At 52.5% G+C, this 11,237-nt stretch overlaps 1 protein-coding gene across 10 annotated transcripts in view, besides 4 other annotated features; it reads right to left on the bottom strand.

The window, feature by feature from the left end:
- KMT5A (lysine methyltransferase 5A) overlaps window positions 1–11,237 on the bottom strand; it is a 25,222-nt gene extending 13,985 nt beyond the window's left edge. For 2 of the 10 annotated variants that reach the window (NR_136910.2, NM_020382.7), the window contains exons 1-4: window positions 11,161–11,237; window positions 5,815–5,936; window positions 4,583–4,739; window positions 103–322 (exon numbers count right to left, since the gene is read on the bottom strand). Coding sequence is in view for 9 of the 10 variants with exons in the window: in NM_020382.7 (NP_065115.3) it covers window positions 103–322; window positions 4,583–4,739; window positions 5,815–5,936; window positions 11,161–11,170 (509 nt within the window). In the remaining variant the exon portion in view is untranslated. Of the gene's footprint in view, window positions 1–102; window positions 323–3,938; window positions 4,095–4,582; window positions 4,740–5,026; window positions 5,333–5,814; window positions 5,937–6,186; window positions 6,459–11,160 lie in introns of those variants that run through there. The other 8 variants (NM_001324504.2, XM_047428836.1, NM_001367386.2 and 5 more) reach the window with 8 other exon arrangements.
- Window positions 5,706–5,815: a silencer, noted in NCBI's record as "silent region_5043". NCBI's record gives its function as "represses an Ori minimal core promoter by ATAC-STARR-seq in GM12878 lymphoblastoid cells {active_cell/tissue: GM12878}" and the evidence as "EXISTENCE:reporter gene assay evidence [ECO:0000049][PMID:35858748]".
- Window positions 6,236–6,595: a silencer, noted in NCBI's record as "silent region_5042". NCBI's record gives its function as "represses an Ori minimal core promoter by ATAC-STARR-seq in GM12878 lymphoblastoid cells {active_cell/tissue: GM12878}" and the evidence as "EXISTENCE:reporter gene assay evidence [ECO:0000049][PMID:35858748]".
- Window positions 10,607–10,766: an enhancer, noted in NCBI's record as "active region_7262". NCBI's record gives its function as "activates an Ori minimal core promoter by ATAC-STARR-seq in GM12878 lymphoblastoid cells {active_cell/tissue: GM12878}" and the evidence as "EXISTENCE:reporter gene assay evidence [ECO:0000049][PMID:35858748]".
- Window positions 10,947–11,116: a silencer, noted in NCBI's record as "silent region_5041". NCBI's record gives its function as "represses an Ori minimal core promoter by ATAC-STARR-seq in GM12878 lymphoblastoid cells {active_cell/tissue: GM12878}" and the evidence as "EXISTENCE:reporter gene assay evidence [ECO:0000049][PMID:35858748]".

Here is an 11,237-nt window from a genome sequence, read left to right as displayed (position 1 = left end):
AGAGGTGGCCACTGAACCCCCATGGGCACCTGAGCAGGCTTCCCTGGCATCAGAGGAACCAAACTGCTCCACGTTAGGAAGAGGACTGAATGGGGCACTTACTTTTTTCGGGGGGCCTGTTTGCCCTTGATGGGCTTTTTCAGGGCTTGCTTGGCGATGGCTGCATTGGTGGAATCACAAGATGAGGGTGGAGTTTTTGGAGGTTCTGCTGCTTCAGATTTTTGGTTTGGAAAAGGTACCAGGGGACCTTTCCTGGCGTCTTTGATCTTCTGTTCCTCGGACTTCATGGCGCTCCGTACTGCGTTCCCAGCATTTCTTTTCTCTGCAGGCGGAGGTGGGGGAAAGACGGGTTTATTCTGTACTGTCTCTCAATTTCCAGACGACCAGCTGCATTCTAAGACAAGCTTTGAGAAGACAGGATCCTGGGTTTGTCAGGCAGGAGTGCCCTTGGCCTGTTAAGCCCCGTGTCCGCTATGGGCTATGACAGGGGGAGTGCCTAGCTCCAGCTCGATTTTTTGACCAAGACACTGGGCAGAGGTTTTAGGCTTTTGCATCTTGACGTGGGAGATAGAGAGCCTGTGAGGGAGAGGCACCAGAGACGGAGACGCTGGCAGGGTGCTTGATCAATAGCTTTCAGGAATCAGGTTGCAGACTCAGATCAAAAGCTCCATTCCTGAAGGCTGGGACAGCATTAGGGGACAGGAGTAAGGTGACAAAGCAGAAACTCTTCCCCAAGAGCTGCCTGGCACCCTTCATTTCAGACTCCGAAGAAAAAGAAGGTCCCCTTCTAGTGGGGTTGAAGCCCCAGGTTCACAGCAGTTCTCAGCATGGTGCCCCAGCAGACTGGCCTGGGTATCGGGAGACACACTGCAATGATCTGTCACTTAAAACACTTGTGGAGTGACAGTGTTGGAAAACTGCTTACCTTTTTAAAAAATGTTTTACTTTTAAATAACTAAGTAAATAGGCTGGACACAGTGGCTCCTGCCTGTAATCCCAGCACTTTGGGAAGCCGAGGCTGGCGGATCACCTGAGGTCGGGAGTTCAAGACCAGCCTGGCCAACATGGTAAACCCCATCTCTACTAAAAATACAAAAATTAGCCAAGTGTACTGGCGGACACTTGTAATCCCAGCTACTCAGGAGGCTGAGGCAGGAGAACTGCTTGAACCTGGGAGGCGGAGGTTGCAGTGAGCTAAGATCATGCCATTGCACTCCAACCTGGGCGAAAGAGTGAGACTCTGTCTCAAAAAAAAAAAAAAAAAGAAAAAAAAATTAAGTAAATAGTACGCTGCTCACAGATATAAAATGGTGCAGCCACTTTAGAAACAGTTTGACATTTTCCCAAAAAGTTAAACACAGAGTTACCATATGACCCAGCAATTTCACTCCTAGGCATCTATTCCAGAGAATTAAAAACATATGTCCCCAAAAAAATCTATGCAGGAACGTAACAGTTTATTTGTAATAGCCAAAAAGTGGAAACAACCCAAATGTCCATCAACAGATGAATAAACAAAATGTGGCCTATCCACAAAAGGGAGTATTATCCAGCCATAAAAAGGAATGAAGGGCTGGGCAGGGTGGCTCCCCTGAGGTCAAGAGTTCGAGACCAGCCTGGCCAAGATGGTAAAACCCCATCTCTACTAAAAATATAAAAACATTAGCCAGGCGTGGTGGTGTGCGCCTATAATCCCAGCTATTTGGGAGGCTGAGGCAGGAGAATAGCTTGAACCTGGGAGGCAGAGGTTGCAGTGAGCCAAGATTGCACCATTGTACTCCAGCCTGGGTGAGAGAGAGAGACTCCTTCTCAAAAATAAAAAAAAGGAATGAAGCACTGATACTTATTACACCGCGGATGAACCTTGAAGACATGATGCTCAGTGAAAGAAGCCAGACACAAAAGGCTATGTATTTTGTGATTCCATCCATATGAAATGTCCAAAACAGGCAAATCCACAGAGACAGAAAGTACTTTAATGGTTACCTTGGACTAGAGGGATGGGGAATCGAAGGTGACGCCTAATGGGTACCTTTCTGGGGTGATGGAAACGTTCTGGAATTAGACTGTGGTAATGGTTGCGCAACCCTGTGAATATACTAAAAACCACCGACTCATACGCTTTAACATGAACGTTATGATATATTAACTATATCTAGATAAACAAAACAGAAAAATAAATAAATACATTAGGCCGGGCACAGTGACTTCACCTGTAATCCCAGCACTTTGGGAGGCCAAGGCGGGTGGGCCACCTGAGGTCAGGAGTTCAAGACCAGCCTGGCCAACATGGTGAAACCCCATCTCTACTGAAAATACAAAAAATTAGCCGAGCGTGGTGGCGGGCACCTGTAATCTCAGCTACTTGGGAGGTTGAGGCAGGATAATTGCTTGAACCCGGGAGATGGAGGTTGCAGTGAGCCGAGATTGCACCACTGCACTCCAGACTGCAAGACAGAGCGAGACTGTGTCTCAAAAAAAACAAACAAAAACCATTAAAACCATCCAGATCTTTCTTCCTCCTCTACACACCTTCCTGGGTGAAATCAGAGAGAATTAAAGCCAGGACATCAGGCCCAGGAGTGTGTGGTGCCCGTGAACATTATCTATCACTCAGTCTGTATCACAGCAGAATCACGGACCACAGCCTGGACCTTGGGGTCTCCAAAGTCCAGCTGACCTAAATTCTTTTTATTTTTATATTAGAGATGGGGTTTCTCTCTGTTCCCCAGGTTGGAGTGCAGTGGCATGATCATAGCTCACTGCAGCTTTAAACTCCTGGGTGCTAGGGATCCTCCTGCCTTAGCCTCCCAAGCAGCTGGGACTACAGATGCATGCCACCATGCCAGGCTAATTTTTTTTGTTTTCATTGTTGTAGAGATGAGGCCTCACTATGTTGCCCAGGCTGGTCTCAAACTCCTGGGCTCAAGCAATCCTCCTGCCTTGGCCTACCAAAGTGCTGGAATTACAAACCCGAGCCACCATGCCCGGACTCTGACCCAAAATTCTAATCATGGCCATTTAGTAAAACCATGAGCCAAATATACTAGCTTGTATACCAGGCCACCATTTGGTACAATGTATAGACTGCCCTATTTTAAAGGACTAGAGTCCGGGCAACTACCATTTATAGACAGCGCCTCTCCCCAACCCTATGGGCAGGAATTCTAAGTGCCACAGGTCCAGGGATGAGCTGGCAGTCCAGGGGTGAAGAGCTGGCACATGGAGTCCACCACAAAGCCCTTTGGCATCCACGCTGCAACCACCCTTCAAAACAGTCCTGTGTGTGTGAGGTCAGACTCCTCTCTCCCCATTTACAGATGAGAGAACAGAGGCTCAGAAGAGAGCAGCAACCTATCTAAGCCTCCTTCTTTCAGGTGGCAAACTTAAGATTGGAACCCAAGTCATCTGAAGATCAAATAAAACAATATTGCCCTGTGTACCAGGGGAGATCAAGCACAGGGTGGGCTCCTGTCCCCAGTTCAGGGCTTGCCCAGCCCTGGTTCTCAGATCCGGCCCCAGAGGTCATGCCAAATCGTCATTTATGACACTTTCTGTTAGCGAACACAAGGCTTCCTTGTATGGAGCTGCTGGCAGCCAGAGGCTCTGCTTCTTTCAGACAAGTTTTAATTAGAAGAGAGCATGGTGAATTGGGGAAAGCTGACACTCCCCACTGCAGCTTTGAAAGGGAATATTTGGATTAGAGCAAGATGTCTAAGAGGTTTCAGTTTGTTTTGCAAGACCAGACCGTTTTCATTAACCCTGTATTTTCGGGTTTAACATTTTAACTCCAAATCTCATTGCATAGGATGCTGCTTCAGAAACTAACACCAAATGCTTGATTGGCAGGAAACTTTAGAAATGGGGTCAAGGCAGCTAGGCGCGGTGGCTCATGCCTGTAATCCCATCATTTTGGGAGGCCAAGGCAGGTGGATCACCTGAGGTCAGGAGTTTGAGACCAGTCTAGCCAACACGGTGAAATCCCGTCTCTACCAAAAATACAAAAATTAGCTGGGCGTGGTGGCGGCCGCTTGTAATCCCAGCTACTCAGGAGGCTGCAGCAGAAGAATCGCTTGAGCCCAGGAGGCGGAGGTTGCAGTGAGCTGAGATCGTGCCATTGCACTTCAGCCTGAGGGACGAGAGCGGAAATCCGTCTCAAAAAAAGAAAAAGAAATGGGGTCAAGGCCAGCTCATAAAAGGGAAGGAAGTCAGTTCCCTACATGAACACATTAGTTAGGTCTGCAATTGCCTGGTCTGTACAACCTGAATTCATGACTTCTGCACTTTCAGCACTTGTGAGCCTCTCTAATTGTGGGTCAGGTATGTTATTTTTGCAACTAAGCAAGACAATCAAGCTTGAAGGATATGCTAACTCTTGTGAAAGCAGGGAAAACCTGTCAAACCAACAGGGCACACACCCTGGGACAAGCCATTCTTTCAGCAGCAAGACAGAACATGGCTCAAACCTCTCGAATCTGAGACTGAAAAGGTTGGATAAATACATATGTGCATTCTTGCAGAGGACAGAGGCTTCTGCAACCCGACCAGCTGGGATCAGAACGAGGCCATTTCAAAAGCTTACCTTCTCGTTTCCTGTAGATTCCGGCTAATGGTTTCCCCTGGCATTTGACTTCGTGATGTGTAACTGAGTTCTCTTCCTGAAGGGGGAAACGCATTCCAGAGCATTTGTTCGGGCTCATGTAGGAATAGATCTTTGACTGCCCGGTAAATACGTTCTCCTAAAAAGACAAAAGCATATTCTGAAAGAGGCTTGAAGAAGAAGATCCTAGAGCATTCACGAGGAGGAGGAATACAAAAGATGAAAATCAGACAACACCGTTTTTCAAAAACTGGGCTACCAGGGGATGCCAGCCCCCATTGTCTCAGGAGAGCACTGGCAGGTTTAGAATCCCAGGTCCAGTGAAACGTTTCCTAAACGCGCTGGTCTCTAAATCACTAAGGGGACAGCTGGCCAGCAGGAGAGTCGGCTGCAACCCAAGGTCTATATAGGAAGAAGACAGCCTACCCGCAACAGGGAGGTCAAAAGGACCTGGGCATGTGAAGAGCTAGGCTATCTTTAGGAGTTCACTGCCCTGGCAGGAGCCGCAGGGACTCAGCACAGAAACACGCCCCGGGGAACCTGATTAACCACTTGGTGCTGAGGGCGGCTGGAGGGCCTGTCAGCACAGCCAGAGCCCCATGAGCGCCGGAGCCTGACCCCTCTCAAATCACTGCAGCCCCGCAGCCTCCAGGGCTGCGACGGGAGGACTTCTCTCAGGGTGACTGGGGAATCTGGGAAGAGCAGGAGCCACAGCCAGCGCATTCGGGGCGGCCACTTTGTCGCAAGCCGCACCTGGGCGTCAGTAAGAGAGTGGACGGGGCGGTGGGGCGGTTCAGGTCACTGCGGGCGCCTCTGGGCGTGGGGCCCCTCCTCTGAGTAAGTACAGACGGAGGAGGGCGTCCCCAGAAGCAACGCCGGGCCCTCGCCGCCTCGGGGACCATTCAACACCGAGGCGGTGAGACCCGTGACCTCTCCGAGGGGCCCGCGCAGGCCCCGCACAGCCTGGGACCGCGGCCACCTCCGGGGAAGTAGGGTCTTGGGCTGCGGAGACGCCACGAAGGCGCAGTCAAACTTTTCCGAGGTCAAACACCGCCAGGCTCATGGCGGAGCCGTGTGGGCGCCACTCCCAGCCAGGCGGCAGCAAAGGAAGCGGCCCGGCCGGGCGCCCCGGGCGGGTACCCGGGGTCGCCCATGTGCTCGCGGCCCCGGCCCGGCGGGCGCGCCGCAGGGGTGCGGGGAGGGTGCCTGCTTACCCCGTCGGTGCGGGGCCTCCCCGGGCCCCTCCGCTCCACCATCTCCGGGCCCGGGGCCGTCGCTGCCACCGCCGCCGCCGCCGCCGCCGCCTCCACCGCGCGGGGCTTGGACATCTTCCTGCCTGGAGAAGGGGACCCGGGGGAAGCGGGGGAGGGGGCGCTCAGGGCGCGGCGGGGCGGGGAGCGGGGCCGCCCGGGCCGGGCGCCGCGACGGCGCCTCCCGCCGCAGCCATATTTCGAGGCCCCGGCTCTGGTGAGCCGCCCGCGCAGCCGGGAGGGCCGGGCCGGAGCCCGCGTCGCCCTCCCGCCGCCCGGCCCGGCCAGGCCCCGCGCGCCGCCCGCCCCCCGCGCGGCCGGGCCCGACACACCCACCTGCAGCCCGGCCAGGCCCATGGCGGCGCGCCCCGCGCCCTCGCCGCCGCCACCAGCGCCGCCGCGGCGCCCCGGGGAAGGGCCGGCGGCGCCCCACGGCGCCCCCTTCCCCCATGGCCGGCGAGGCAGGGCCCGGCACCCGCGCACCGCGGCAGCCCCGGGCCGCCCGGGGCGAGGCACGAAGGGAAGGAGGCGCAGGCGGCGCGTCCTCCGCAGCCCTCCCGCCCGCTCGCAGCCGCCCACCGTCCGGCGCCCGGCCCGGGGAGGGGGCTGGTAGGGGCGGCGCCGCCAGGCCGCTCCGGAGGGCGGGCGGGCGGGCGCGGCGAATCCCGGCTCGGGCGCGCCCCCTCTCGCGCGGCCTCAGCCACTCGCGGAGGAAGGGGTGGGAAACACCGTCATGACAGCCCAGGCTCCCGCCCGCCCTCCCGCCAGCCCGCCCGGCTCCTTTTTCCGCTGGCTCTGCGGATATTTTGGGAACCCGGTCTGTGCCAGACGAAATCAGCAGCGGTGAACGCGCCAGGCCAGGCCCTCGGGTGTGCCCGGCGCTGTGCCCACCGAGAGTTTCACAGGCATTGAATCCTCCCCGCACGCCCACGGGGGCAGGTCCTGTCGGCATCCCAGCTTACAATGGTGACACTGTGACTCAAGGGATGTGCAGGGGTTTGTCCCGGGCCACAGAACTAGGAAGTGATGGGGCCAGGTGTCAAACCCAGAAGGGCTGTACTTGACCGGTAGGAAGCCCTGGGGAGACAGAGCCAGGGGTTATAATGATCGGTTTCCTGGGCGAGTCTCTTGCCGTTATCTCACTGAAACCTCACAGCAGCCCTGCAAAGGTAGACACCATTATTATCTCTTTTCAACAGATGGAGAAAGTGAGGAGCTTGGCCAAGTTCTCAGAACTAGATGGGTTTTCAGCCCCAGCCAACTGACCCCAGGGCCTTGCCCTCCCAGCCACTACCCTTCCTGGTTACAGATGAGGAAATGGAGTTTGGGAGAAGCAAATGGTCTTGCAGAAGGGTTTAACATGTCACCTTGTTCTCCTATCCCGCCGTGAGAAAATGCCCCCATAGGCAGACGAGGTTCCCGTCACTCTGGTGGCTGTTTCAGCATAGCTCACTGCCCTGCACCACTACTCTGTGGCCATTAAGGCTTGAGGGCCCACAGCCAGATTCACTGTATTTGTGCAAAGTCATAGATGCAAACAAGACACTTCAAGGCATCCAGCTCCTGCAGCCTGGCCCATGGCCTGGGAGTCAGGGGCTGGACTTATTTCCCTGCATCTGCCCAGAGGTGTTTTGTGACCATCGCCAAGTCACTTCCCCAGTCTGGGCCTCAGTGTCCTCATGGGTAAAAACCAAGAACCTTGAATTCCATAATCCACCAGAGCACCTTCCAACATCCACAGATAAGCAAATGGCTGTTTGTAGCCATCCTCCCACCTAGCCTCCCTCGACTCCCATTGGAACGGATAAGACTGAGTAGGATTAGGTGGTGACAGGTCACTGCTCAGACAATCCCTCCCAAATCAGCTCATGCTTTAGCATCCTTCAAGGCAGGGTCTCCAGCCCAACCACTAACTCCAGTGGGCTAGGTACTCTGCCTATGCCCTCTGCAGAGCCTACTACAGTTGAATATCCAAAAGATTACCCAGAGGGTGAAAGAGGATTCGAAAGTGACACTCTGATAACCAGGTTGAGCCATTTGAAAGCGTCTTCTATTTCTGCAAGGCAGAGAAGTTTTGCAGCTTAACTGCCATGAGAATCATGGTTTTGGAGCAGGAAGCACCCACATAGATCATCTTATCCATTTCACATTCTAGTATACCGAGCCACACCCCACGCCCCACTCATGGTCATAGCTTTCTCTGCATTTGAGCCCCCAATTGCAGGGGACACATTACAAGTCTAGCACCTATTCCTCTCAATTCTGCAGCTCCAGTACCTAGAAGATGTAAATACAGATCATTCAATGTAAGTTTCAAAACAGTCCTTTCTCCGCAAGTTTATACGTATATAACAAATACACCAGCTGGGCGCAGTGGCTCACACCTGTAATCCCAGCACCTTGGGAGGCAGAGGAGGGCAAATCACCTGAAATCAGGAGTTTGAGACCAGCCTGGCCAACATGGCGAAACCCCGTCTCTACTAAAAATACAAAAATTAGCTTGGCGTGGTTGCGCATGCCTGTAATCCCAGCTACTTGGGAGGCTGAGGCAGGAGAGTCACTTGAACCCAGGGGGGTGGAGTTTGCAGTGAGCCAAGATTGTGCCACTGCACTCTATCCTGGGTGACAGAGTGAGACTCTGTCTCCCAAAAAAAAAGAAAAGTCTGTATTTTTGGAGACCCCCCCACCAGGTGCTAAGGGATAATGAACTGAAGATGGCAAAATGAGGAGGGCAACCAACCAAGAGACCATTCAACAATGGCAGTAGAAATAGTGAAAGGTAGGTGGACTGACCCCTGAGACTAATATATTGGGGTTGTAAATATTTGCATGATTATAAAACTTCAAAATGAGTGAGGTGTTGCCTGGCATCTGACCAGTTTGTTTCTGTGACCCAGCAGGGCTCTCAAAGTGAATTGCAAGTTCAAAGCCCAATTTTCTAGAAGAAAAAGACTGTTCATTTGAAGTGCTGTAAATGATTTGGTATTTACAATTCTAAATATTGGCCAGGCGTGGTGGCTTTTGCCTGTAATCCCAGCACTCTGGGAGGCCGAGGTGGGCAGATAACCTGAGGTCAGGAGTTCAAGACTAGCCTGGCCAACATGGCGAAACCCCGTCTCTACTAAAAATACAAAAATTAGCTGGGTGTGGTGACAGGTGCCTGTAATCCCAGCTACTTGGGAAGCTGAGGCACAAGAATCACTTGAACACAGGAGAGGGAGGGTGAAGCGGGCTGAAATCACTCCACTGTACTCCAGCCTGGGTGACAGAGAGAGACTCTGTCTCAAAAAAAAAAAAAAAAAAAAAAATCTAAATCTAAATATCCAATTTAATAGCTTGCAAGGGCAGTAAAGCCTAAGAAACAGGTAACTACTAATTTGGGGGTCAAGTGAGACAGTGAGAATCAATAACTAATAATTACATAGGTGATTTGTAAGCTGCCATGGGAGGAGCTGACAAACATTATCTTCGCTTTGGGTAAGTAAGGGAGGTTGGGTGGCACAAGCAAAGACCCAGCCAAGCTAGAGTCTGGACAGCAAGTTTGGACTTCACGCTTCCTCTTCCAAAAAATGAGAATAACAATTTGTAAAGATCAATTGAGTTAATAAAGTGCCTGGCCCTCAGTGGTAATTATTATTATTTTGTTATTGTTCTTGTTTGTTTTTTTGAGATGGAGTCTTGCTCTGTTGCCCATGCTGGAGTGCGGTGACGTAATCTCGGCTCACTGCAAGCTCCACCTCCCAGGTTCAGGCAATTCTCCCTGCCTCAGCCTCCCAAGTAGCTGGGATTACAGGCATGCGCTGCCATGCCCGGCTAATTTTGTATTTTTAGTAGAGACGGGATTTCTCCATGTTGGTCAGACTGGTCTCGAACTCCCGACCTCAGGTGATCTGCCCGCCTTGGCCTCCCAAAGTGCTAGGATTACAGGTGTGAGCCACCATGCCTGGCCATAATTATTATTTAGTCATATTTTAAGTATTTCAATGATAGATGGTTAGTTTTCTTCATATATTAATTAATGCACTACTTTTAAAACAAGTAGTTTAAATGATTTTGCTGTGATGAGAAAAATGAACCCAGGAAGCATAGTTTTATTAAAATTTGTCAGATAAATTAGTCAGATAATGTTAAATATACTTTTAGATGCTTAACACTTTTCAAAGGAAAAATATTAGTATTAATTTTCTCCAAGAGTTGAGTGATGAAGCTCTTTAACCTGAAGTTTACTATGCCTCATTTTTTCATCAGGCTCTGGGTAAGTCTTATCCCAAAAGAACCTCTAGGGATGCTAGGAGAATAGATGATGCAACTGACTTCAGGGCCTGAAAACAAAGGGACCCAATAGATATTTACTGAATGAATCATTATTTTATTCATTATTATTGCTATAGGGAGCATACTGCACTAAAGCAAATTCCTACTAACACTTGAAGCCTTGAAATTTTGAGAAAAATATAATACCAAAACTTTTTTTTTTTTTTAATACTAATTCTACTCAACTTTCACGCTCAAGTTTTTGGCCCTTTGGCGTGAAGGAGACGCAGTGGCTGGAAATGACCAAGCGGTTGGAGATCTCTTTGCCGCATACCTGGGAGGCACTGTCCTGACAGCCAACTAAGTATGCAGAGGACTTCAGACAGGGCATCGCCTCCCAGGGCTGTACAAGCCCACCCAAGCCATCTACCGGGGGGCGAAGTCCTGACCAGATGCGGGGCGAACGACCGCGCCCGCGAGATGCCAGGAACCCGTTTTACCCCAAAGTGGGCCAGCGGGGCCCGGCCTTCGCTCCAGCGGCGCAGAGCTGACTCAGGACGTGGGGAGGGAGGAAAGGCGCCTGCTGCGGTGTCCACCCTGACGCGCACCCCAATATGCAGGTTATCGATCTGCGCCTTCGCCTCGGGATCACCTCCTTTCCCAAAGAGAGAGGGCCCCAAAGTGGGCGAAGCCTCACTCCTGCCCCCGCCCCACTTCTATCAATAACACCTATTCCCTGGAGGTGCCCTGCGCTTTAGTTTCCAAAGAGCTCTGACATATGGATCTGCTGCCGTGGAGAGGCAGGCCCGCAGGTGTTCACTTCATAGAAGGGAAACAGAAGCACGGCAGTGGGAAGGGTTTCTGGGGGCATCTGGAGCCGCAAGGGGGGGCCGGCGGGTTCCGCAGCAGCACCCCCTCTCCCCCCACGCGGGTCCCCAAGCTTGCCCCGAGCCACCCGAGGAGGACGCCTCCCCGCAGCCGCTGCCTCCACCCCGGCAACCCCTCCAGCACGACCCCCGACCCAGCCGCTCCGGTGCCGGCCACTTGGGCAAATACCTCTAGCCATGGCTCCACTCTGTCACCGCCTGGGATCTCCCGGGAAACCCAGCTTTCGAAAAAAGTTGCAACAACTC

This window comes from Homo sapiens, chromosome 12 (genome assembly GCF_000001405.40).
Source record: "Homo sapiens chromosome 12, GRCh38.p14 Primary Assembly".
Taxonomy (NCBI): domain Eukaryota; kingdom Metazoa; phylum Chordata; class Mammalia; order Primates; family Hominidae; genus Homo; species Homo sapiens.
The sequence above is the reverse complement of the archived record's forward strand: the minus strand, read 5'-3'. Positions and strand labels throughout refer to the sequence as shown.